The sequence below is a fragment of the Homo sapiens genome, chromosome 19, assembly GCF_000001405.40.
Source record: "Homo sapiens chromosome 19, GRCh38.p14 Primary Assembly".
Taxonomy (NCBI): Eukaryota; Metazoa; Chordata; class Mammalia; order Primates; family Hominidae; genus Homo; species Homo sapiens.
In genome coordinates, this window is record NC_000019.10 from 48,262,773 (window position 1) to 48,288,724 (window position 25,952).

Consider the following 25,952-nt stretch of genomic DNA (forward strand, 5'->3'; position numbering starts at 1 on the left):
TGGTATAAAATGGATAGACCTTGAAAACATTATGCAAAGTGAAAGGATCCATCACAAAGGACAATATATTGTTTGATGCCTGTCTTAGTCACTTTGGGCTTCTTTAACAAAAGTATCATAGACCATGTAGCTTAAACAACAGAATTTATTGTCATAGTTCTGGAGGCTGGGAAGTCCAAGATCAAGGCACTGGTACATTCAGTGCCTGGAGAGGACCTGCTTCCTTGTTCATAGACGGCTGACTTCTTGCTGCATTCTCCCACAGTAGAAAGCGGGAGCGAGGTCTCTGGGGTCTCTTTTCTAAGGGCGTTGAGACCATTCATGAGGATTCCACCCTCATGACCTCATCACCTCCCGAAGGCCCCATCTCCTCCTATCATCATATTTGGAGTTAGGATTTCAACACGTGAACCTGAGGGTGGACACATACATTCAGTCCATAACAACTCCTATTAAATCAAACGTCAGAATGAGTAAACCTATGGAGACAGAAGGTGGATGCGTGGGTGCCTGTGGCTGGGTGTGCGTGCCTGTGGGGAACGGGGAGTGCCACTTAATGAGTTTCTTTTTGAGGTGATGACGCTGTCCTAAAACTGAGTGTGGTGGTGGTTGTACAACTTCATAACTATACTATATATACAACATTGAATTGTATAGTTTAAGTGGGTGAATTGTGTGGTTTGTGAACTATATATCCATAAAGCCATTATTTTAAAAATCTAATCTTTAAAAAATGTCATAGCAGAGCCGGTGAAGGTAATGGATTAGACAACGGTCCCTAAACCCAAGTATTTTAAAGAAATCAAGGTGACAATTTAGGCAAGAAAAATGATTAGAGTTGTACGAGAGAAGAATGGAAGGCAAGGAAAATAATCACCATTTCACTTCCAAAAGTCCTTTTCGGAAGATAGCCTTTTAATTAATTTTAACACAAAGTGTACAAAATATATTAGTTTACTAACTCTAGTTTTGTCTTATATTGACAAACTCTTTAATATCTAGATACTAGATATTATAAAATTAGGACCCATTTGTCCAGTACCTACACAACATATACAGTGTAGCAAAGTTAAATGAAATGCAGGCTGGGCACGGTGGCTCATGCCTATAATCCCAATACTTTGGGAGGCTGAGGCTGGCGGATAACCTGAGGTTGGGAGTACGAGACCAGCCTGACCAATATGGAGAAACCCCGTCTCTACTAAAAATACAAAATTAGCCGGGCGTGGTGGCCCATGCCTGTAATCCCAGCTACTTGGAAAGCTGAGGCACGAGAATTGGTTGAACCCAGGTAGCGGAGGTTGCAGTGAGCCGAGATCGTGCCTCTGCACTCCAGCCTGGAAGACAGAGTGAGACTCTGTCTCAAAAAAAAAAAAAAAAAAAAGTAAATTTCCATTAACTGGCAAGTAATGGATCCAGGTCTACAATGCTCTATCTCCTAATGTCATCTCCAGATTAATTTTTTAAATCACCCAGGGCAGCAATCTGCAATGTCCTCTGGATCTGTGTAAACTCTTGTGTGGCAAATGACTGAAAGTTCAACTTCAATGCAGTAAAAATATAAAGAGAGTGTCCTGGCTCCGTTGAATGCAAGGACAGAAGGTAGGACTGACCCTAGGGAGGCTGATCCATGAGCTCCAAAAACACCACAGGGAAGGAACGTTTCTCCAGGTGTCCACCTTGCCTTCCATGGTGTTGGCTCCACACAATATTCACATGAAGCTTCACATCTCACAAGAGACAAAAGGGAGAAGAGCAAGGGCAGCCTCTGATCCCTCCCAATGAGGAGAAGTCTCCTCGGGATGTCACAATGTCTCGCAAGCCCATTTCCCAGCCAGCTTATGTTTCCAGGAAGTCAGGGAACAGATTAAATTTTCAAAATCATGCCTAGAGGAGGGTCAAGATGCCTGACTGGACACAGCCCAGAAGCACCACTCCCACCAAGAGAAACCAAGATATTGGATAAACCAACAGACTTAGAGAAGATCTTCGTAGGAAAAACACCAAGAGTTGATACAGAGGCATGCAGACAACAGGGCTGAAGAGCTAGGAACCTGGGAATGTGGTGTGGGGTAGCTGAACGCTAGGGCCAGTTCCCAGCACTGAAAGGCTCCTAGGGGAGGGGTTAGTGAAGGGACAGAGGGATGACAGGCTGTCACCACAGACCGCTGATGTCCCAGCTATGGGAGACTGCCCACCTCCCATAGACATTTTTTTTTCTTTTGAGATGGAGTTTCGCTCTTGTTGCCCAGGCTGGAATGCAATGGCATGATCTCAGCTCACTGCAACCTCTGCCTCTCAGGTTCTAATGATTCTCTTGCCTCAGTCTCCTGAGTAGCTGGGATTACAGGTGCCCACCGCCACGCTCAGCTAATTTTTGTATTTTTAGTAGAGATGGGGGTTTCACCATGTTGGCCAGGCTGGTCTTGAACTCCTGTCCTCATGACCCACTCGCCTCAACCTCCAAAAGTGCTGGGGTTACAGGCATGAGCCACCGCGCCCGGCCTCCGTAGACATTTTGTCAGAGGCATTTGAACCAGAGCAACTCCATCTTGAGTAGGAGGTGGAGAAAATGAGGCTGAGACCTACCGGGCTGCATTCCCAAATGATGAAGGCATTCTAAGTCACAGGATGAGATAGGAGGTCGGCACAAGATACAGGTCATAAAGACCTTGCTGATAAAACAGGTTGCAGTAAAGGAGCCGGCCAAAACCCACCAAAACCAGGATGGCGACGAGAGTGACCTCTGGTGGTCCTCATTGCTACACTCCCACCAGCTCCATCACAGTTTACAGATGCCATGGCAACGTCAGGAAGTTACCCTATGTGGACCAAAAAGGGAAGGCATGAATAATCCACCCCTTGGTTACCATATCATGAAGAAATAACCATAAAAACAGGCAACCAAGGCCGGGCACAGTGGCTCACGCTGGTAATCCCAGCACTTTGGGACGCTGAGGCGGGCAGATCACCTGAGGTCAGGAGTTCGAGATCACCCTGGCCAGTATGGTGAAACCACGTCTCTACTGAAAATACAAAAAAAATTAGCAGGGCCTGGTGGTGGGCACCTGTAATCCCAGCTACTCGGGAGGCTGAGGCAGGAGAATGGTGTGAACCCAGGAGGCGGAGGTTGCAGTTTGCCGAGATCACGCCATTGCACTCCAACCTAGGCAACAGGAGCGAAACTCCGTCTCAAAAAAGAAAGAAAGAAAGAAAGAAAAACATGTTAAATGACAACACAAGGATCTAATTGGCAAAACTGAAACCAAAGAAAATTTTACAGAAAAAATGACCTACTTTCTACAACAATAGCAATGTTTGAATGGGGGGATGGAATTAAATAAGTGGCAACTTAGATTAACAAAGAATTAACACACACACACAAAAACCTATTATAGTGGATGATTTGTATCTCTATGCAAAGCAATAAAGTAAAAATAAGAACCAGGGAAATGACAACATTAACGGGATATTTTATGATGTCCTGAATGATGATTACTTTTCATTGTAAGGGAGTATTCATGTAAGACAGTAAAGCATTTTTTAACTCTTCATCTTTTAAACATACATAGTGATATTTTTATTTTTTATTTTTTATTTATTGATACAGAGTCTCACTCTGTCACCCAGAGTGGAGTGCAGTGGCAAGATCTCAGCTCACTACAACCTCCACCTCCTGAGCTCAAGTGATCCTCCCGCCTCAGCCTCCCAAGTAGCTGAAGTAGCTGGGACTACGTGCACCACACGCCTGACTAATTTTTTTTTTTTTTTTTTTAGAGACAGGGTTTTGCCATTTTGCCCAGGGTGGTCTCGAACTCCTGAGCTCAGGCAATCCACCCACTTCGGCCTCTCAAAGCATGAACCACTGTACCTGGCCATCGTAGTGATATTTTTACAGGTGAAATAATATAATGTTCCCAATTTTCTTTAAAAAGATCCACCTAGCAGTGAAGGCATAGGTGAAACGGGATATTGAGGATACCAGAAAAGAAGCAGGTTTTTTTGTGGTTTTTTGTGGGTTTTTTTTTTTTTTTTTTTTTTGAGACAGAGTCTCGCTCTGTCACCCAGGCTGGAGTGCAGTGGCGCAATCTTGGCTCACTGCAACCTCCGCCTCCTGGCTTCCAGCGATTCTCCTGCCTCAGCCTCCCAAGTAGCTGGGATTACAGGCGTCCACCACACCCAGCTAATTTTTGTATTTTTAGTAGAGACTGGGTTTCACCATGTTGGCCAAGCTGGTCTCGAACTCCTGATCTCGTGATCCGCCCGCCTCAGGCTCCCAAAGTGCTGGGATTACAGGCGTGAGCCACCGCCCCTGGCCAAGAAGCAGGTTTTTGAAGGGAGAGGATGAGAAAACAAGGGAAGGGAAGCACTGCTGGAGATGAAGACCCAGAGAAAATAGAAGGGAATTGGACACCTACAACCACTAGAGGTCGCAAGAGGAATATCCTTTAGTGCCCTGAGCCCAGACCTGAACCAAGGTTTAACAGGGTTCTTCTCAAGTCCTTGGACTCCTTCGGTCATAATTTGGGAGCCTCCAAAAAGGAGAGCCTGAAATGAGGGCTTACGTGCAGGTAGTTTATTTGGGGAAGAGGTCAGAAATTTTCTTTTTTTTTTTTATGGAGTTCCGCTCTTGTTGCCCAGGCTGGAGTGCAATGGCACACTCGGCTCACCGCAACCTCCGCCTCCCAGGTTCAAGCGATTCTCCTGCCTCAGCCTCCCGAGTAGCTGGAATTACAGGCATGCGCCACCACGCCCGGCTAATTTTGTATTTTTAGTAGAGACGGGGTATCTCCATTTTGGTCAGGCTGGTCTTGAACTCCTGACCTCAGGTGATCCGCCCACCTCAGCCTCCCAAAGTGCTGAGATTACAGGTGTGAGCCAACGCCCCCAGCCCGAGGTCAGAAATTTTCTTATGTCACATTGTACTTTTTTTTTTTTTTTTTTTTTTTTGAGACAGAGTCTCACTCTGTTGCCCAGGCTGGAGTGCAGTGGCACGATCTCGGCTCACTGCAACCTCTCCCCGTCAGGTTCAAACAATTCTCCCGCCTCAGCCTCCCGAGTACCTGGGACTACAGGCATGCACTACCATGCCTGGCTCATTTTTGTATTTTTAGTAGAGACGGGGTTTCACCATGTTGGCCAGGCTGGTGTTGAACTCCTGACCGCAGGTGATCCGCCCGCCTCAGCTTCCCAAAGTGCTGGGATTACAGGTGTGAGCCACCATGCCCAGCCATACATTTTACTTTTGAACACTACATACCGTGGAATACTTTTCAGACTTTAAAAGGAATGAAATACTGATACATGCTTCACCGTAGGTGAACTTGGAAAACATTGTGCAAAATTAAATACGTCAGACACAAAAAGGCAAAGGCCGAGTGATTCCACTTCTAGGAGATTCCTAGAACAGTCAAATTCCTGGACACAGAAAGTAGAACAGAGCTTACCAGGGACTGAGAGAAAAAGGGAATGGGGTGTGATTATTTAACGGGTACGGAGTTTTAATTGGGAAAGATGACAAAGTTCTGGAGATGAATCGTGATGATGGTTACACAGCGATGTGGCTGTACTTAATGCCACTGAAGTGTACACTTTAAAATGGTTCACATGGAGGCCGGGCACGGTGGCTCATGTCTGTAATCCCAGCACTTTGGGAGGCCGAGGTGGGTGGATCACGAGGTCAGGAGATCGAGACCATCCTGGCTAACATGGTGAAACCCCATCTCTACTAAAAATACAAAAAAAATAGCTGGGCGTGGCAGATGCCTGTAGTCCCAGCTACTCAGGAGGCTGAGGCAGGAGAATGGCGTGAACCCGGGAGGCAGAGCTTGCAGTGAGCCAAGATCGTGCCACTGCACCTCAGCCTGGGTGACAGAGGGAGAGTCCGTCACAAAAAAAAAAAAAAAAATGGTTCACATGGAAATGTTTGTGATGTATATTTTATCACCGTAAAAAAATGTAACTGGGGTAAGTATGATCAATATTTGGCAATTTAAGCTTTATGGTAGAATTTCATTACTAGAGTGAAGAAAGACAGTCCATAAAAAATAAATTATTTAGGCCGGGGTGCAGTGGCTCATGCCTGTAATCCCAGCACTTCGGGAGGCCGAGGCAGGTGGATCACCTGAGGTTGCGAGTTCGAGGCCAGCCTGACCAACATGGAGAAACCCCGTCTCTACTAAAGACACAAAACTTAGCCAGGCATGGTGACGTGTGCCTGTAATCCCAGCTACTCGGGAGGCTGAGGTGGGAGAATTGCTTGAACCCGGGAGGCAGAGGTTGTGGTGAGCTGAGATTGCGCCATCGCACTCCAGCCTGGGCAACAAGAGCGAAACTCCGTCTCAAAATAAATAAATAAATAAATTATTTAATTGACCAGATAGGGACTCCCAGCCCTTCCTTCCTGGGGAGCTCCAGGAGCTGGCTGGGCTGGGCTTAATCTTTCCTCCCAAAGAACCAAAAGAAAAAGAGATGCACATCAAGGTTTGCTGGGGACCCTCAAAGGAAAAGAAACGATGTAACTCGAGTAGAGGATAAACGCTTTGTTCAGCTGATTTGCATCAGGGGCACCTGAAGATCAAGCGACTCCCCAGTTAAGCAGAGTCAGGGTGGGAAACTGAGTCTGTGTCCTAGAGGTCTGGGTTTAGGCAGTCATTTTGGGTTTTGTTTTGTTTTGTTTGTTTTGAAACGGAGTCTTGCTCTGTCACCCAGGCTGGAGTGCAATGGCGCTATCTCAGCTCACTGCAACCTCCTCCTCCCAGGTTCAAACGATTCTCCTGCCTCAGCCTCCCGAGCAGCTGGGATTACAGGTATGCACCACCATGCCCAGCTCGTTTTTGTATTTTTAGTAGAGACAGGGTTTCGCCATGTTGGCCTTGAACTCCTCGCCTCAGGTGATCTGCCCACCTCAGCCTCCCAAGGCCAGAGGATCACTTTAAGCCCAGTGTCAGGCCTCTGAGCCGAAGCTCAGCCATTGTAACCCCTGTGACCTACACATATACGTCCAGATGGCCTGCAGGAGCCAAGAAGTCTGGAGCAGCCGAAAAACCACAAAAGAAGTGAAACAGCCAGTTCCTGCCTTAACTGATTAACCCACCTTATGACATTCCACCATTATGACTTGTTCCTGCCCTGCCCCAACTGATCAGTCGACCCTGTGACATTCTTCTCCTGGACAATGAGTCCCATGATCTCTCCACAATGCACCTTGTGAGCCCCTCCCCTGCTGACAACAAATAACCACCTTTAACTGTAACTTTCCACTGCCTACCCCAGCCCTATAAAGCTGCCCCTCTCCTATCTCCCTTCGCTGACTCTCTTTTCCAACTCAGCCCACTTGCACCCAAGTGAATAAACAGCCTTTGTTGCTTACACAAAGCCTGTTTAGGTGGTCTTCTATACGGACACGCGTGACACCCAGGAGTTCGAGACGAGTCTGGGCAGCATAGTGAGTTTTCATCTCTAAAAAAAAAAAAAATTAAAATTAGCCAGGCATGCCTTGTACGTGCCTGTGGTCCCAGCTACTTGGGAGACTGAAGTGGTAGGATCGCTTGAGGCTGCAGTGAGCCAAGATTGCGCCACTGCACTCCAGCCTGAAGGACAGAGCAAGAACTTGTCTCAGAAAAAAAAAAAGAAAAAAAGAATAAGAAAAGGAAAAAAATAAAAAAGGAAGGAAGGGAGGGAGGGAGGGGCAGAGAGGGAGAGAGGAAGGGGGGAAGGAAGGAAAGAAAGAAAGAAAGAGAAAGGGAGGGAGAGAGAGAAAGGAAAGAAGGGAGGGAGGGAAGAAAGAGAAAGAAAAAAGAAAGAAGAAAGAAAGAAAGAGAAGAAAGAAGGGAGGGAGGAAGGGAGGGAGGGAGAAAAGGAGGAAGGGAGAGAGAGAAAGAAAAAGAAGAAAGAAAGAGAAAAAAGGAAGGAAGGAGGGAGGGAGAGGAAAAGAAAGAAAGAGAAGAAAGAAAGAGAAAAAAGGGAAAGAAAGAAAAGAGAAAAAAGAGAAAGAAAGAAAGAAAGAAAGAAAAGAAAAGAAGGGCCGGGCGCGGTGGCTCACGCCTGTAATCTCAGCACTTTGGGAGGCCGAGGCGGGCGGATCACGAGGTCAGGAGATCGCTGAAACCCTGTCTTTACTAAAAATACAAAAACTTAGCCAGGGTGGTGGCGGGCGCCTGTAGTCCCAGCTACTCGGAGGCTGAGGCGAGAGAATGGCATGAACCCGGGAGGCGGAGGTTGCAGTGAACCGAGATCGCGCCACTGCACTCCAGCCTGGGCGACAGAGCGAGACTCCGTCTCAAAAAAAAAAAAGAAAGAAAGAAAAGAAAGGAAGGAAGGAAGAAAAAAATCATTTCAAGGGTAGGCGACGGGAGCCTTGCGGTTTAGCCGCTAGTCAACGGATGGGGGGGAGTGGTAGCAAAAACATAAAAATGGGGACAAGAGAGAAACTGGAGACTCCCCAACCTGTCTGTTTCCGCCCTTTTACAGTACTGAGGGGAAAAAAAAGCCTTCTTTCCTTGGGAAATGCAGGAAGCCAGCAAGCGGCCGGAGTCTCCGGAGCCCGCAAGGAGGCGCGTTGGCTGCGCAGAGAGCGCGCTTCCCAGCTGGAGAGCCTAGGAACGGTGGCGCGGGCGGAGGCGACAGCGAGGACCCAAGGCTGGGGTTTCCTGCTTGGATCAGGAGTGCCTGGGGAGTAAGTTCTACAGGAAATGTCAATCTACTGGTCGTGGGGGTCAGACTCTGGGGTCGGGTCGATCGGGTCCCGGGGGCGGGGGGTGGGACGGGGGTGGGCAGGCAGGAGTGCGGGCGCTGGGATCCCCTGCCTGCTCGGCTCCCCTCTCCTCCCCCTGGTCCCTTACACCGTCCATTTTGAGGAAGGGGTCAAGAAGCGAGTACAAAATGTCTGGGCAGGACGAATCTCTGTAGTCGGTCCTTCCTGGCGGCCTCGTTAGGTTGATTTATTTCAACAGTTTGATCCCCATCCTGGTGCAGCTCCGAGACGCTCCTGGGCTGCGCGCGCTTTTGGGCTGCGCCACCGACAGAGACATCTGGAAGCCGGAGCTAGTGGAAGAGTAAGTGTGCCTGAGTGTCCGTACTAAGGGCGGGACCGGGCCGGGGCCCAGGGACTTGAGAGTTGCTGTCTGCAAAAGCCTCATTGTCTCTACCCTTCCGGGAGGAAAGGGGAAGGCACGAATGACCCACGTGTTCAGACCCCGAGCGCGCCCTTCACCTTGGCCCAGGGAGAAGGGCGCTTCCCCCATACCGTGCTGCAGCGTTGCGAAAGCGCCTGTCCCCGGGCTTGGGCAGCAGAGATGCCCGCATGCAGCGGTTGCAGGGGTTGTGTTCTTTGCATCCATGAAAGTATTGGAGCTGGCCGGGCGCGGTGGCTCACGCCTGTAATCCCAGCATTTTCGAAGGCCGAGGTGGGCGGATCACCTGAGGTCAGGAGTTCGAGACCAGCCTGGCCAACATGGTGAAACCCCCATCTCCACTAAAAATACCAAAATTAGCTGGCCGTGGTGGCATGCGCCTGTAATCCCAGCTACTCAGGAGGCTGAGGCAGTAGAATCGCTTGAACCCGGGAGGTGGAGGTTGCAGTGAGCCGAAATCGAGCCATTGCACTCCAGCCTGGGCGACAGAGGGAGACTCTGTCTCAAAAAAAAAAATAAATAATAATAATAATAATAATTAGCCGGGCATGGTGGCGGGCGCCTGTGATCCTAGCTACACGGGAGGCTGAGGCAGGAGAATCGCTTGAACCTGGGAGGTGGAGATTGCAGTGAGCCGAGCGCCTGTAATCCTAGCTACTTGGGAGGCTGAGGCAGGAGAATCGCTTCTACCTGGGAGGTGAAGGTTGCAGTGAGCCGAGATCGTGCCACTGCACTCTAGCCTGGGCGACAGAGCAAGACTCTCTCTCAAAAAAAAAAAAAAAAAAAAAAAAAGTATTGGATTGGAGCCTGTTGTGATGAGGGTGAACTGAAAAGTCCTGGGCAGGGCCAGACGTGCAGGATGCACTGGTTTCTTACGAGAAAGAGCTTTTTTTTTTTTTTTTTTTTTGAGAGGGAGTCTCGCTCTGTCACCCAGGCTGGAGCGCTGTGGCGCGATCTCTGCTCACTGCAAGCTCCGCCTCCCGGGTTCACGCCATTCTCCTGCCTCAGCCTCTCAAGTAGCTGGGACTACAGGCGCCCGCCACCGCGCCCGGCTAATTTTTTGTATTTTTAGTAGAGACGGGGTTTCACCGCGTTAGCCAGGATGGTCTCGAGCTCCTGACCTCGTGATCTGCCCGCCTCGGCCTCCCAAAGGGCTGGGATTACAGGCGTGAGCCACAGCGCCTGGCCAGATAAAGAGCTTTGAGGGTTTGAGTTCCGTGTGCTGAACATGGTCTTTTATGGGAACTGAGACCTCAGCAGAGGAAATATATAAAAAGGACAAGCTGCAAGGAGAGTGGTGTGAAGGTGTCAGGATCAAACCCCACGGTCGGAACAAGATGCATTTTTATCACTAATCCGCTCCGGTGAGGTCTGATTTACTGGAACTCAGGGCAAAGGTGGGAATGTGTTTCATCAGCCAGGTATATCTTCGTCATGGACAATCAGGCAAAAGCCAACCTCAGCCTGCTCACCTGAGCTGACTCACAATGATGCGTTGTTTTTCTTTTTCTTTTCTTTTCTGTTTTTTTTTTTTTTAAACTACTGTCCTGAGCTGATGTGTCTGAGGTTACTAGGGTCAGAACCGGCGCTCCAATTGTATTGGGGAAAGGACGGAATTCAGGGAAACTTAAATTGAAATAGGCGGTTTTATCTTCTTAGGTAGGCTTACAGCTGAGATGCGTGTAATGGGGTTATCATCAGGTGTGGCTGTTTCCTTGGGAACTATAAGGTCAAGATAGACGTGGAATGTTGTGTCTCAAAAACTCTTATTTACAGCTCAGCCCCTGAGTTGCACAGGCTTGCTTCTGTGTCAAAGTGACTTGGATCCCCCAGGCAACAGTGGGGCTTTTCTTTTTTTTTTTTTTTTTTGAGACGGAGTCTCGCTCTGTCGCCCAGGCTGGAGTGCAGTGGCGTTATCTCGGCTCACTGCAAGCTCCTCCTCCCGGGTTCTCGCCATTCTCCTGCCTCAGGCTCCCGAGTAGCTGGGACTACAGGCGCCCGCCACCACGCCCGGCTAATTTTTTGTATTTTTAGTAGAGACGGGGTTTCACCGTGTTAGCCGGGATGATCTTGATCTCTTGACCTCGTGATCCGCCCACCTCGGCCTCCCAAGGTGCTGGGATTACAGGCGTGAGCCACCGTGCCTGGCCAATATATATGTATATATATTTTTATACATGTATATATATAAATGCATACACACACACATATATATAAATATATACACACATATATTTATGTGTGAGTGTCTATATATAAATTCAGCTTTTTCTCATATGATTAATTTAATTTTTAAATTATTAATGGTTTAGAAAAGTTTTGAGTCCGCAATTCATTGCTGACAGTGTCATGTAAACGTTTAGATTTGTCCTCAAATTGAGGGAACTTGCCATCAAGTTTCTTCCAAATATCATGTAAGTTGTAGATTTTATGGCATTCTAACATTTTATGAACAAATGACTCATCTTATACTATTTAAGTTGACCACAGTCATTAAACGGTCATCAGATGTCACATTTGGAGCAGGAAGAGTTTTGGGGGTTTGTTTTTGTTTTGTTTTAATAGAAAAAAACTTTTATATATATATATATATATATATATTTTTTTTTTTTTTTTTGAGACAGAGTTTTTCTCTTGTTATCCAGGCTGGAGTGCAGTGGTGCAATCTCGTCTCACCGCAACCTCTGCCTTCCAGGTTCAAGTAATTCTCCTGCCTCAACCTCTCTAGTAGCTGGGATTACAGGCATGTGCCACCATGCCGGGCTAATTTTGCATTTTTAGTAGTGATGGGGTTTCTCCATGTTGGTCAGGCTGACCTCGAACTCCCAACCTCAGGTGATCTGCCCGCCTCGGCCTCCCAAAGTGCTGGGATTACAGGCGTGAGCCACCACGCCTGGCCTAGAGTTATGTTTCTTTAGGCAGGATGCAAACACATTGTGTGCGTTTCTCTTCCAGGGCTCACACCCTCGAACTTGCCTCCCTTTGTTCATGACATTTACTAGTTGGAGTCCCTGGGTAGTCAGAATGGCAGAACGTCCACGCCTGTGCATTTGTGTGGTTGTTCCTTGTGTCGTTGAAAGTTAGACCTGGCCAGGCACGGTGACTCACGCCTGTGATCCCAGCACTTTGGGAGGCTGAGGTGGGAGGACTGCTTGACCCCAGGAGGTCAAGGCTACAGTGAGCTCTGATCACACCACTGCACTCCAGCCAGGGCAGCAGAGTGAGACCCTGTCTCAAAAAAGAAAGAAAGAGAGAAAGAGAGAGAGGAAGAGAGAAAGAGAGAGAGAAAAAGAGAGAGGAAGAGAGAAAGAGAGAGGGAAGGAAGGAAGGGAGGGAGGGAGGGAGGGAAAAAGAGAGAGGAAGGGAGGGAGGGAGGGAGACAGAAACATCCTAGGTTGGTCAGGCTTCGTGGCTTTAATCCCAGCACTTTGGGAGGCTGAGGCAGGATGATCGCCTGAGGTCAGGAGTTCAAGACCAGCCTGGCCAACATGATGAAGTCCTGTCTCTACTAAAACACACACACACACACACACACACACACACACACACACAAAATAGCCAGGCGTGGTGGTGGTCGCCTGTACTCCCAGCTACTTGGGAGGCTAAGACAGGAGAATCTCTTGAACCCAGAAAGCAGAGGTTGCAGTGAGCCAAGCTAGTGCCACTGCACTCCAGCCTGGGTGATAGAGCGAGACCTTGTCTTGAAACATATATAATAACAAAGAAAAATTTAAACAAAATAAAAATGAAAGATACATCGTAGGTGGTGTGTTCATCACATCAGTGTAACTATAATGGCTGTTTGTTGCCGGGCGCGGTGGCTCACTCCTGTAATCCCAGCCCTTTGGGAGGCCGAGGCAGGCAGATCACGAGGTCAGGAGATCGAGACCACGGTGAAACCCCGTCTCTACTAAAAATACAAAAAATTAGCAGGGCGCAGTGGCGGGCGCCTGTAGTCCCAGCTACTGGGGAGGCTGAGGCAGGAGAATGGGGTGAACCCGGGAGGCAGAGCTTGCAGTGAGCTGAGATCGCACCACTGCACTCCAGCCCGGGTGACAGAGTGAGACTCCATCTCAAAAAAAAAAAAGCTATAATGGCTGTTTGTCCCTGTACAAGTCAAGCTAACATTGGTGGGGTAGTTTCTGGAGGTGAGAGAGCCTCTTACCTCTTTTTTTTTTTTTTTTTTTTTTGAGATGGAGTTTCGCTCTTGTTGCCCAGGCTGGAGTGCAGTGGTGCAATCTCGGCTCACCGCAACCTCCGCCTCCCAGGTTCAAGTGATTCTCCTGCTTCAGCCTCCCGAGTAGCTGGGATTACAGGCGTGTGCCACCACACCCGGCTAATTTTGTATTTTTAGTAGAGACGGGGTTTCTCCATGTTGGTCAGGCTGGTCTCAAACTCCCTACCTCAGGTGATCTGCCTGCCTCAGCCTCCCAGAATACTGGGATTACAGCCTTAGGCCACTGCACCTGCAGAGCCTTACCTCTGAAAGTTGCATTCCTTTACGCCCAGCAAGTCCTGAGTGATGCCTCCGTACCCTGCTAATGACTGCCTCCCCTTTCTGTGTCCACCGACGTGTCTTATTTCCTGAATCAGTTGTTTTATTAAGGTTGCAAAATGATGATTTTTTTTTGTTGAGATAGGGCCTCATTCTGTCACCCAAGTTGGAGTGCAGTAGTGCAATCATAGTTCACTGCAGCATCAACCTCCTGGGCTCAAATGATCTTCCCACCCCACAACCTCCTGAGTAGCTGAGACTAGAGGCGCACGCCAGCGTGCCCACCTAATTTTTAAATTTTTTGTAGAGATGGGGCCTCGCTATGTTGCCCAGGGTGGTATCAAAATCCTGGGCTCAAGTGATCCTCCTGCCTCAGCCTCCCAACATGCTGGGATTATAGGTGTGAACCACCCAGCCCAGCCCAAAATGGTGATTTTTAAAAATATTCAATTGTCCCAACTAAACATGTAGCTGGGACTGGGCGTGGTGGCTCACGCCTGTAATCCCAGCACTTTGAGAGGTCGAGGCAGGCGGATCACCTGAGGTCAGAAGTTGAGACAAGCCTGGCCAACATAGTGAAACCCCGTCTCTACTAAAAATACAAAAATTAGCTGGGCGTGGTGGCCCAAGCCTGTAATCTCAGCTACTCAGGAGGCTGCTGAGGCAGGAGAATTGCTTGAACCCAGGAGGTGGAAGTTGCAGCGAGCTGAGATCGTGCCACTGCACTCCGGCCTGGGCGACAGAATGAGACCCTGTCTCAAAAAAAAATTTTTTTTAATATATATATTTTTGTTATATTAGCTGGGCGTGGTGGCAGGCGCTTGTGGTCCCAGCTACTTGGGAAGCTGAGGCAGGAGAATCACTTGAACTCAGGAGGCAGAGGCTGCTGTGAGCCGAGATCTCCCCACTGCACTCCAACCTGGATGACAGAATGAGACCTTGTGTCAAAAAATAAAAATAAAAAAATGAATATGTAGCTGGAATTCTGTAGTTTTCCGTCATCCGTAAGGCTATTCCGTTTCTTTTCTTATTGGAAAGGCAAAGTAAAGGCTTAATTTTTCCTCTTTATTAACCAAGGCTTGTGTTTTTTTCCCCCTCTGGTTTTCTCTGTCTGGGTATCATTATGAGCGCAGGTATTTTTAGTGTTCAGTGTGTTTCCATCAATTGCAATGATTCACTTTGTAGTTCAAATCCGGCCGCTGGGAGACGTTTCCAGCCGCTGTGCATCCTCCTAACGCGGTCTAGGGCAGCTCCCCTGCCATCTGGCACCGCAAGGCTCACACTGGGAATTTTCTGTTCCCAGATCAGCCATGTTTCCGAGGGTGTTCATTGCCTCCTGCTTCTTAATTCTTCTAAGCATTTTCTATGAATAGACTGACCAGGGAGGCATTGGGTGTGTGTGTGTGTGTGTGTGTGTGTGTGTGTGTGTGTGTTCGTGACGATATGAAGCCTTTTCATCTTATATTTGAAACTTTTTCCTCTTACACTAAAAATCTGACTTCCCAGTAACATGAACACTTTTCATCTTATATTTGAAATTTTTTTTTTTGAGACAGAGTCTCGCTCTGTTGCCCATGCTGGGGTGTGCAGTGGTGCGATCTCAGCTCACTGCAACCTCCACCTCCCAGATTCAAGTGATTCTCCTGCCTTCAGCCTCCCAAGTAGCTGGGATTACAGGTGTGCGCCACCACGCCCGGTTAATTTTTGTATTTTTAGTAGAGACAGGGTTTCGCCATGTTGGCCAGGATGGTCTCAAACTCCTGACCTCAAGTGATCCACCTGCCTCGGCCTCCCAGAGTCTTGGGATTACAGGCTTGAGCCAACGCGCCCGGCCCAATTCACCTTCTTAAAGGGTGCAATTCAATGGCTTTTAGTATATTCACAGACGTGTACGTCCCTCAAATTTAGAACATTTCCATCACCCCTGAAAGAAGCCCTGTATCCTTCAGTGGTCATCTCCCAGTCCCTCATCTCCCCCAGCCCTGGACAACCTCTGATCTGCTTTCTGTCTCTATAGATTCGCCTATTCTGGACATTTCATTTTCAATGGGGTCATACACTGTGGTCTTTTGTGTCTGGCTTCGTTCACTCAGCATCCTGTTTTCAGAGCTCACTGGGTTGTAGTGTGTGTCAGTGCCTCAGTCCGTTTTATGGCTGGGTAATATTCCATGGTGCGGATAGACCACGTTTGCTTTCTTTGTTCATGCATTGATCAGTATTGGGTTGTCTCTACTTTGGGCTGTAATGAATACCGCTATGGGCCAGGTGCGGTGCTCACACCCCTAATTCCAGCACTTTGGGAGGGCGAGGCGGGCGGATCACTTGAGGTCAGGAGTTCGAGACCAGCCTGGCCAGCATGGCGAAATCCCATCTCTACTAAAAGTACAAAAAATTAGCCAGGTGTGATGGCAGGCACCTGTAATGGCATCTAATCGGGAGGCTGAGACAGGAGAATCACTTGAACCAGGGAGGCGGAAGCTGCAGTGAGCTGAGATCGTGCTACTGCACTCCAGCCTGGGCAACAGAGTGAGACTCCGTCTCAAAAAAAAAAATTGCAATTAGATTAGCGGCTGCCAGCAGCTGGGTGAAGGGGAGAATGGGAAGTGACTGCTAAGGGGGATGGGGTTTTATTTTGCGGTGATGAAAAGTATTTGGAACTAGGTAGAGGTGACGTTTGTACAACATTGCAAATGCACTAAATGCCACTGCATTGTTCACTTAAAATGGTTAACTTCATGATATGCAAATTTCACCTCGATTAAAAAAAAATGCTGCTTGAGGCCAGGAATTTGAGACCAGCCTAGGCAACATAGTGAGACCCCATCTCTATGAAAATAAATATGAAAAATTAGGAGGCATGGGGGCCCATGCCTGTACCTTCAGCTACTCAGGAGGCTGAGGCAGGAGGATCACTTGAGCCCAGAAGTTTGAGGCTGTAGTGAGCCATGATTGCACTACTGCACTCCAGCCTGGGCAACAGGACAAGTCTCTGTCTCTAAAAAATTAAATTAAAATATAGGTGTGTGTGTGGGTGTCTGTGTGGGGGGCGGGGGTGGGGGGATGGGGGTGTGTGGGTGTGTGTGTGAGTGTGTGTGTGGGTGGGGGGATGGGGTGTGTGGGTGGGTGGGCGTAAGGGGGTTGGAGTGAGGGGATGGGGGTGTGTGGGTGTGTGGGTGGGTGGGTGTAGAGGGGGTGGGGGTTGTGGGCTGTGGTGGGGAAGTGTGTGCACACGTGCATTTATATGCTGAGATTAATGTCAGGCAGGATCCACATACGAGTGTGGGGAAGGCAGGGTGCCTGGATTCTCATAGCTCCATTCTTCTCCCAAGCTCTGCCTCACCTGCCTCCTTGAAGGAAACACGGGGAAGCCAGGACTGGCCGTCACGTTGGTGACAAATATGTCCCAGGTAAGTTGGCAGCTCACCCTCTCCCAGAAGCGTGTTGTCGTTCCCACGAGTCAATGTGCCTCTGCCTGTGGCTGGGAGTCAGGTAAAGCACATGGAGCCAGGCAGGGCCCCCCGCCAGCCGTGCTGCCCTAGGTCTCTGCACCTCTGCTTGGAGAGAGATGCTGCCCTGGGGATTCTCCTGGGACCACCCCCACCCCAGTACTGACTGGTCCTTTCCACACCTCATCCTGGCTGCCAGTGGGCTTCACGTTCTGCTGCAAAGCACACTAAGAAAGGAGCTGAAAGTGTCTTTGGTGGGGTGCAGTGGCTCAAGCCTGTAATTCCAGGACTTTGGGAGGGTGAGACAGGAGAATCATTTGAGGCCAGGAGTTCAAAACCAGCCTGGGCAATGTAGCAAGACCACCGTCTCTATAAATATAAAACAAATTTGCCTGGTGTGGTGGTGCACGGCTGTCGTCCCAGCTACTTAAGAGGCTGAGGTGAGAGAATCGCTTGAGCCCAGGAGGTTGAGGCCACAATGAGGAGTGATCACTCCACTGCATTCCAGCCTGGGTGACAGAGTAAGACTGTCTCTAAAAATAATAATAAAGTAAAATAAAAAGAAAGTGTTTTTGTCTTAAGGAACTCAGGGTCTCACAGGGGACACTAGGCGTTTATGGAGCGGGCAGTGGCAGCATCTCCCGCAACTGTCATGACCTGCAGATGACAAGCAGTGGACTGAGACGTGCCCCACTCCAAATTTTTTTTTTTTTTTTTTTTTTGAGACGGAGTTTCACTCTTGTTGCCCAGGCTGGAGTGCAATGGCATGATCTCGGCTCACTGCAACCTCCGCCTTCCAGGTTCAAGTGATTCTCCTGCCTCAGCATCCCGAGTAGCTGGGATTACAGGCACCTGCCAGCACGCCCGGCTAATTTTTGTATTTTTAGTTGAGATGGGGTTTCTCCATGTTGGCCAGGCTGGTCTCGAACTCCTGACCTTAGGTGATCCGCCCACCTCGGCCTCCCAAAGTGCTGGGATTACAGGCACGAGCCACCATGCCCGGCCAGGGTTTAAGGAGTAGCCACCCCTCTGTGATAGTTTGTTATAACAGCCTGAACAGGCTAATGCATGAGAAAGACACACAGTTGGTCAACTGGTAGAGATTGAAGTCCGGTCGCGTGACTCAGGTACTCTTTTTCCTGAGACAGGGCCACAGGTGATGGTGTGTGCTGGCTGTCCCAGCTACTTGGGAGGCTGAGGTGGGAGGATCGCTTGAGCCCAGCAGTTCGAAGCTGCCGTGAGCTGCATTTGCACCACTGCACTCCAGCCTGGGTGACAGAGCAAGACCCTGTCTCAGAAGAAAGAGCACCTGAGTCATACGACCGGACGTCAGTCTCTACCAATCGACTGTACCTCTTCCTGTTGCATTAGGCTGTTCAGGCTGATGAAACTATCACAGATGGGGTGGCTTAAACAACAGACATTGATTTTCTCACAGTTCTGCAGGCTGGAAGTCCGAGATCAAAATAGCGGCAGAGTTGCTTCCTTCTGGAGGCTCCAAAAAAGAATTTGTTCCATGCTCTTACCTAGCTGCTGGTAGTCACTGGCGTCCTTGGCATTCCCTGGCTTGTGGACCCATCACTCCAGTCTCTGCCTCCCTCACCAAATGACATTCTTCCCTCTGTTTCCCTCCCTCTGTCCACATTTCCCCTTCTTTTTTTTTTTTTTTTTTTAATTTATATTTTGTTTGTTTTTTTGAGACAGGGTCTTGCTCTGTTGCCCAGGCTGGACTGCAGTGGGAGGATCATAGCTTATTGCAACCTCCACCTCCCAGGCTCAGGCAATCCTCCCTCCTCAGCCTCCCGGGTAGCTGAGACTACAGGCACCCGCCCACACTCACGGGTAATTTTTTTATTTTTTGTAGACGGGTTGTCACTGTGTTGCCCAAGCTGGTCTTGAACTCCTGGCCTCAAGCGATCGTCCCACCTCAACCTCCCAAAGTGCTGGGATTACAGGCATACGCCACTGCAGCTGGCCAGATTTCCTCTTCTTATAAGGACACCAGTCACTGGATTAGGGCCCACCCAACCCCCAGTACAACCTCATCTTTTTTTTTTTTTTTTTTTTTTGAGACAGTCTCACTTTGTAGCCCAGGCTGGAGTGCAGTGGTGTGATCTCGGCTCACTGCAACCTCCACCTCCCAGGTTCAAGCAGTTCTCTGCCTCAGCCTCCTGAGTAGCTGGGACTAAAGGCACCCGCCACCACCATGCCCAGCTAATTTTTTGTATTTTTAGTAGAGACGGGGTTTCACCATGCTGGCCAGGCTGGTCTCGAACTCCTGACCTTGTGATCCACCTGCCTCAGCCTCCCAAAGTGCTGGGATTACAGGTGTGAGCCACCGCGCCCGGCCACAACCTCATCTTAATTCATTGACATCTGCAAAGACTCTAGTTCACAAATCAGGTCACCTTTGCAGGTACCAAGGGTTAAGACCTCAACCTACCTTTTTCTGTGGAGAAAGGGGTCACAGTTCAAACTGATAACAGGACACCCCTCCGAGCCAAACTGCATGTGTTATTTTAGGACTCGGTGACCTTCGCAGACGTGGCTGTGAACTTCACCAAAGAGGAGTGGACCCTGCTGGACCCAGCTCAGAGGAATCTCTACAGAGACGTGATGCTGGAAAATTCTAGGAACTTGGCATTCATAGGTAAGGAGGCCCCCTTCCTGCACTTAGTCCGTGATGGGACCAGTGCTGGTTTGGAACCGTGTTCTGGGAAGTGCATTGGAAAATGGGAACTGGGTTAAATTCCAGAGACACAGCTGCTGCCCCCCAGGTAGTAGGTGTAGGGTTCACCATGAAACTGGAAGTCAGTTTGTTGCATTACTTTATTTATTTTATTTTATATTTTATTTTATTTTATTTTATTTTATTTATTTTTTGAGACAGGGTCTCACTCTATCTCCCAGGCTGGAGTGCAGCGGCATCATCTCAGCTCACTGCAACTTCCACCCCCCAGGTTCATGCAATTCTTCTGCCTTAGCCTCCCTAGTAGCTGGGAATACAGGTGCACACCACCACACCTGGCTAATTTTTGTTTGTATTTTTAGTAGAGGCAGATTTCACCACGTTGGCTAGGCTTGTCTTGAACTCCTGACCTCAAGTGATCCTCCCACCTCGGCCTCCGGAAGTGCTGGGATTACAGGCGTGAGCCACCACACCCAGCCTTTATTTTTCTTTTCATTAAGATGGGGTCTCACCCTGTCACCCAGGCTGGAGTGAAGTGGCACCATCTCGGCTCACTGCAACTTCCGCCTCCTGGGCTCAAGCAATTCTCCTGCCTCAGCCTCCTGAGTATCTGGGATTACAGGCATGCTCTACCACCCCCAGCTAATGCATTACATTTTTATTCTCTTCGTGATTGAACAGAATTTGGGGGATCCTTATGTAGGTGAACATGGTGCACAGGAAAAGGGTCGTTTTGAGCCCTTTTGGCAGAGTTTTAGTGCATTGATGAGAAAAGTAGAGGGACCACTGTTGCACTTCTATTCACACATCATCAGCTTCAGAACCCCAGCAAACCAAAGCCTGTGTCCATTTGACAGAAAGTCTCGGCACAGTTCCTTTATACCACATGCTTGCCCAGTGAGCAGGATTTCAACTAGGCAAACCCAGTCTGCCCTCTCATTTGGAGCAAGAAGTGGTCTGAAAACAGTGCAGGGCAGTTTTGTCCAGGCATTTATGCATCTCAGTACCAGGTAGATGTGAACATTACAGGACCAACAGGTTTGTAAGCCAGCAGCATGGTAACAGAGCAACAGGCTCGCCACTGAGACAGCAGGGTTTGCAACAGAGAAAAGAGAAAGTTGCATGATTACATGGTGCCAACCGAGGAGATGGGAGGAGACGCTCAAATTCTTCTCCCTGGGGGGTTCTGGGGTTTTTGTTTTTTTTTTGTTTTTGAGACTGTGTTTCACTCTTGTTGCCCAGGCTGGAGTGCAGTGGCGCGATCTCGGCTCACTGCAACCTCCACCTCCCGGGTTCAAGCAATTCTTCTGCCTCAGCCTCCCGAGTAGCTGGGATTATAGACATGCACCACCATACCTGGCTAATTTTTGTATTTTTAGTAGAGACGGGGTTTCACTGTGTTGGCCAGGCTTGTCTCAAACTCCTGACCTCAAGTGCTCCGCCCACCTCGGCCTCCCAAAGTGTTGGCATTACAGGCATGAGCCACTGCTCTCATTTTTAAGGGGATCATGGAGGATAAGGGACTGGAGAATTGGAGACGTTGATTGGTCAGAGGAAGGGGGATGAAATCATCGGGATGAGGAAAGTACATTCTTTGGTGCGTCAGTTTCTCACGGCATTCCTCAGATCAGTGAGCATAGTCATTTCATCAGAATGCAGGACCTGAAGGAATATCTCAAAGAGAAAACTTAATGTTTTATAATTTTCAAGTTGTTATCTACAGAGCAGCTAAGGAGACCTATAGGCCAGGCACAGTGGCTCACACCTGTAATCCTAGCACTTTGGGAGGCTGAGGCAGGAGGAGGATTACTTGAGGCCAGGAAGTCGAGACCAGCCCAGCCAACATGGCAAAACACTGTTCTTTTTGTCTTTAAAAACAATTTTTTTTTAATTAAAAGGAAAAAAAAAGAAAGAAAAAAACAGGCACTCTGTTGCCCAGGCTGGAGTGCAGTGGCTCAGTCTCAGCTCACTGCAATCTCTGCCTGCCGGATTCAAGTGATTCTCCTGCCTCAGCCCCCTGAGTAGCTGGGATTACAGGCACACGCCACCATGCCCAGCTAATTTTTCTATTTTTAGTAGAGACGGGGCTTCACCACATTGGCCAGGCTGGTCTCAAACGCCTGACCTCTGGTGATCCACCCACTTCAGCCTCTCAAAGTGCTGGGATTACAGGCGTGAGCCACTGTGCCTGTCCAAGCTTATGTTTTTTGACTTTTATCCATCCTCTCATATTTTCATTTTTCCCTGCTAAAGGCCTGTTCCTTTTCTCCTTAAAATTGCACATGGAGCCAGCTACTCGGGAGACTGAGGCAAGAGGATCACTTGATCCCAAGAGCTCAAGGCTGCAGTGTGCTGTGATCACACCTATGAATAGCCAGCCACTGCACTCCAGCACCTGGGCAACCTAGTGACACCCTCATCTCAAAAAAATAAAAATTTCACATGGACTCTCTGTCCAATTCTCTTCCACTTAGAATTCCTGATCGTTTCCTTGATCTCTGCAGAACTGTTCCTCAGTAACATGACACTCTCCATGTTGAACCCCTGACCTTACCGTCATCACATTCCTGACACTGCAGAATCTCTGATGTCTTTCTCTGCTTCCTTCCTCTTGCTTTCTTCCCCTTCACATTTTTATCATACATGTTGAGTGAACATTTAGAAAGAAATCCACACAGAGGCCTGGCGCGTTGGCTCATGCCTGTAATCCCAGCACTTTGGGAGGCTGAGGCAGGTGGATCACATGAGGCCAGGAATTCAAGACCAGCCTGGCCAACATGGTGAAACCCCATCTCAACTGAAAACACAAAAATTAGCCAGGCATGGTGGCACGCACCTGTAATCTCAGCTACTCAGGAAGCTGAGGCCAGAGAATTGCTTGAACCTGGGAGGCGGAGGTTGTAATGAGCCAAGATCATGCCACTGCACTCCAGCCTGGGCCACAGAGTAAGACTCTGTCTAAAGAAAAGAGAGAAAGACAGAGAGAACGAGAGAGAGAGAGAGGAAAGAAGGAAGGAAGGAAGGAGGAAGGAAGGAAGGGAAAGAAAGAGAAAAGAAAGAAAGGAAGGAAGGAAGGAAGAAAGAAAGGATGGAAGGAGCGAGGGAGGGAGGGAAAGAAAGAAAGAAAGAAAGAGAGAAATCCACACGGAGATTGCCTATGTCATCATCTCTAACCCACCTTTACTTTCAACAAAGAATTTAACTTTTGTGCCACTGTATTTCAGATTGGGCAACTCCATGTAAAACCAAAGACGCAACCCCTCAGCCGGATATTCTTCCTAAAAGAACATTTCCTGAAGCCAACAGAGTGTGTCTCACGAGCATCAGTTCCCAGCACTCCACATTAAGAGAAGACTGGAGATGCCCCAAAACAGAGGAACCACACAGGCAGGGGGTGAATAATGTGAAGCCACCTGCAGTTGCCCCTGAGAAAGATGAATCTCCTGTTAGCATTTGTGAAGATCATGAAATGAGGAACCACTCTAAACCTACCTGCAGGCTTGTGCCTTCACAGGGAGATTCCATAAGACAATGTATCCTAACACGTGACTCAAGTATTTTCAAGTATAATCCTGTCTTAAACGATAGTCAAAAAACACATGAAAACAACGAAGACGATGGAGTCTTGGGGTGGAACATTCAGTGGGTTCCGTGTGGGAGAAAAACAGAGCTGAAATCAAGCACATGGACTGGCAGTCAGAACACTGTGCATCATATACGTGATGAAATTGATACGGGGGCCAACAGGCACCAGCGGAATCCATTTGGAAAAGCTTTCCGTGAAGACGGATCCCTTAGGGCACACAACACTCATGGTCGAGAGAAAATGTATGATTTTACTCAGTGCGAGAACACCTCCAGAAATAACTCAATTCACGCCATGCAGATGCAGTTGTATACCGCAGAGACAAACAAGAAGGATTGTCAAACTGGGGCAACCTCTGCCAACGCTCCAAATTCCGGTTCACACAAGAGTCATTGCACTGGAGAGAAAACCCATAAATGCCCCGAATGTGGGAGAGCCTTTTTTTATCAGTCATTCCTTATGAGACATATGAAAATTCACACTGGAGAGAAACCGTATGAATGTGGGAAATGTGGGAAAGCCTTTAGATATTCCTTACACCTTAATAAACATTTAAGAAAGCATGTTGTGCAGAAGAAGCCCTACGAATGTGAAGAATGTGGGAAAGTCATTCGGGAGTCCTCAAAATATACACATATAAGGAGCCACACTGGAGAGAAACCCTATAAATGTAAGACATGTGGAAAAGACTTTGCAAAGTCGTCAGGACTTAAAAAACATCTTAAGACTCACAAAGATGAGAAGCCCTGTGAATGAAAGGAAGGTGGAAAATTTTTCATTAATTTTCTGACTGTACCAAACATGTGAGGAGGACATATTGGAAGGGAGCTCAAGGGGTTAGCATGAGTGAGAACATCTTCCCTGAACTCTCGTATCTTACAGAAATGTGAAAAAAAACCCTGTGAAGGTAAAGTCTACAGAAAGCCTTTCATCTTCATTCATCTTGAGTAGACATTTGTTCTCACCCTGGAGAGAAACTGCGAATCTAAAAGGAATATGACAAAGCCTTCAGCGTGGTCTCAAATTCATGGTTCATACAAGAACTCACACTGCAGAGACTCCTTACGGAAATAAAAAATGTAGGAAAGACCTGCCGGCCGCGGTGGCTCATGCCTGTAATCCCAGCACTTTGGGAGGCCGAGGCGGGCGGATCACGAGGTCAGGAGATCAAGACCATCCTGGCTAACACGGTGATACCCCGTCTCTACTAAAAATACAAAAAAAATTAGCCAGGCGTGGTGGCAGGTGCCTGTAGTCCCAGCTACTTGGGAGGCTGAGGTAGGAGAATGGTGTAAACCTGGGAGGTGGAGCTTGCAGTGAGCCGAGATGGAGCCACTGCACTCCAGCCTGGGGGAAAGAGCGAGACTCCGTCTCAAAAAAAAAAAAAAGTAGGAAAGACCTCTTTAAACACTTACCACTCATGTTGCATGTGAATCCACATCCTGAAGGGAGGCTACAACTGGAATAAAAATAAGAAAGCTTTCAAGGCCTGGTGCAGTGACTCACACCTGTAATCCTAGCACTTTGGGAGTCCAAGGTGGGGGATTGCTTGAGTCCAGGAGTTTGAGACCAGCCTGGGCAACATGGAGAAACCCCATCTCTACAAAAAAAAAAAAAAAAATGCAAAAATTAACCAGGAGTGGTAGCACATGCCTGTAGTCCCAGCTACCTGGGGAGCTGAGGCAGGAGGATCGCTTGAGCCTGGGAGCTTGAGGCAGCAGTGAGCTGTGTTTGCACCACTGCACTCCACCCTGGGTGACAAAGTGACACCCTGTCTCAAAAAAAAAAAGAAAGCTTTCAGGTCCAGCCTTTCACTTAGGCACAATGAGCGCACAGTAGGACTGAAACACTGTAAATGTTCATGATTTTCCAGTTTTTCCTTTCTAAAAAAAAAAATGCTACAAGATGAAGGATATCCCTCTTTGCACACTCCCAGCTCTGCCACATAAATGTTGGTATATAGCAGGTTCATTATAACTCACATACACGTGGTCTCATTTTCAATGTGAAGCCTTCTTTGAGCCTCATTCAATTTAGACTTGGGATTCATATACTCCATGATACCATTTTTGTCTTATTGGTCACTGTTCAACTGCATTATGGTCAGAGTATGTGGTCTTTCTGGTACCAACTTGGGTTACTTGTTATGACTTTGTCAGTCTAATGTGCCCTATTCTGTCAACTTCCCTGCCACCTCCATTCTTCTCATCTTCTTTACTAAGGGCACATAGATTCACTTTCCACAATGAGCACTATTTAATGTCTTATTTTTATTTTTATTTTATTTATGTATGTATTTATTTTGAGACAGAGTCTTGCTCTGTCACCCAGGCTGGAGAGCAGTGGGGCAATCTCGACTTACTGCAACCTCTGCCTCCTGGGCTCAAGTGATTCTCCTGCCTCACCCTCCCGAGTAGCTGGGATTACAGACACCCACCACCACGCCCAGCTAATTTTTCTATTTTTAGTAGAGACGAGATTTCACCACGCTGGCCAGGCTGGTCTCAAACTCCTGACCTCAAGTGACCTGCCTGCCTTGGCCTCCCAAAGTGCTGGGATTACAGGCATAAGCCACTGTGCCCGGCCTCTTTTCAATCTTTTA

General features: G+C 48.3%; 1 protein-coding gene and 1 long non-coding RNA gene across 8 annotated transcripts, besides 3 other annotated features; one reads left to right on the forward strand and one right to left on the reverse strand.

Moving 5' to 3' along the window:
- Positions 1-127: 127 nt before the first annotated feature.
- ZNF114-AS1 (ZNF114 antisense RNA 1) lies at positions 128-9,060 on the reverse strand. 2 transcript variants are annotated; one of them, XR_936008.4, is made up of 3 exons: positions 8,844-9,060; positions 7,373-7,461; positions 128-412 (listed from the first exon to the last, which is right to left on the reverse strand). It is a non-coding gene; the product is annotated as a ZNF114 antisense RNA 1 (long non-coding RNA). The 2 variants fall into 2 exon arrangements; XR_936009.3 differs by lacking the exon at positions 8,844-9,060 and adding an exon at positions 8,449-8,611.
- Positions 4,321-4,370: an enhancer, noted in NCBI's record as "active region_14876". NCBI's record gives its function as "activates an Ori minimal core promoter by ATAC-STARR-seq in GM12878 lymphoblastoid cells {active_cell/tissue: GM12878}" and the evidence as "EXISTENCE:reporter gene assay evidence [ECO:0000049][PMID:35858748]".
- ZNF114 (zinc finger protein 114) lies at positions 7,309-24,836 on the forward strand. 6 transcript variants are annotated; one of them, NM_153608.4, is made up of 6 exons: positions 7,309-7,447; positions 8,473-8,677; positions 8,955-9,056; positions 16,959-17,036; positions 19,599-19,725; positions 22,989-24,836. In NM_153608.4, exons 4-6 carry the CDS (start codon positions 17,028-17,030, stop codon positions 24,104-24,106), a joined length of 1,254 nt encoding a protein of 417 aa, NP_705836.1. In that variant the 5' UTR covers positions 7,309-7,447; positions 8,473-8,677; positions 8,955-9,056; positions 16,959-17,027; the 3' UTR covers positions 24,107-24,836. The 6 variants fall into 6 exon arrangements, with proteins under 6 accessions (NP_705836.1, NP_001356740.1, NP_001318026.1 ...); NM_001369811.1 differs by having other exon boundaries at positions 8,515-8,677; NM_001331097.1 differs by lacking the exon at positions 7,309-7,447 and adding an exon at positions 8,131-8,343 and having other exon boundaries at positions 8,977-9,056.
- Positions 8,550-9,056: an enhancer, noted in NCBI's record as "H3K27ac-H3K4me1 hESC enhancer chr19:48774579-48775085 (GRCh37/hg19 assembly coordinates)". NCBI's record gives its function as "activates a minimal SCP1, AML or CMV promoter by ChIP-STARR-seq in naive H9 embryonic stem cells {active_cell/tissue: H9 hESC(naive)}" and the evidence as "EXISTENCE:reporter gene assay evidence [ECO:0000049][PMID:30033119]".
- Positions 9,057-9,562: an enhancer, noted in NCBI's record as "H3K27ac-H3K4me1 hESC enhancer chr19:48775086-48775591 (GRCh37/hg19 assembly coordinates)". NCBI's record gives its function as "activates a minimal SCP1, AML or CMV promoter by ChIP-STARR-seq in naive H9 embryonic stem cells {active_cell/tissue: H9 hESC(naive)}" and the evidence as "EXISTENCE:reporter gene assay evidence [ECO:0000049][PMID:30033119]".
- Positions 24,837-25,952: the final 1,116 nt, after the last annotated feature.

What these genes read in the sequence shown, in the direction of transcription:
- ZNF114 (NM_001331098.1), top strand. An exon ending in GCACCCGCCCACACTCACGG is followed by an intron (nt 18,918 to 19,598) that starts GTAATTTTTTTA and finishes GTGTTATTTTAG; the next exon opens with GACTCGGTGACCTTCGCAGA. An exon ending in TAGGAACTTGGCATTCATAG is followed by an intron (nt 19,726 to 22,988) that starts GTAAGGAGGCCC and finishes ACTGTATTTCAG; the next exon opens with ATTGGGCAACTCCATGTAAA.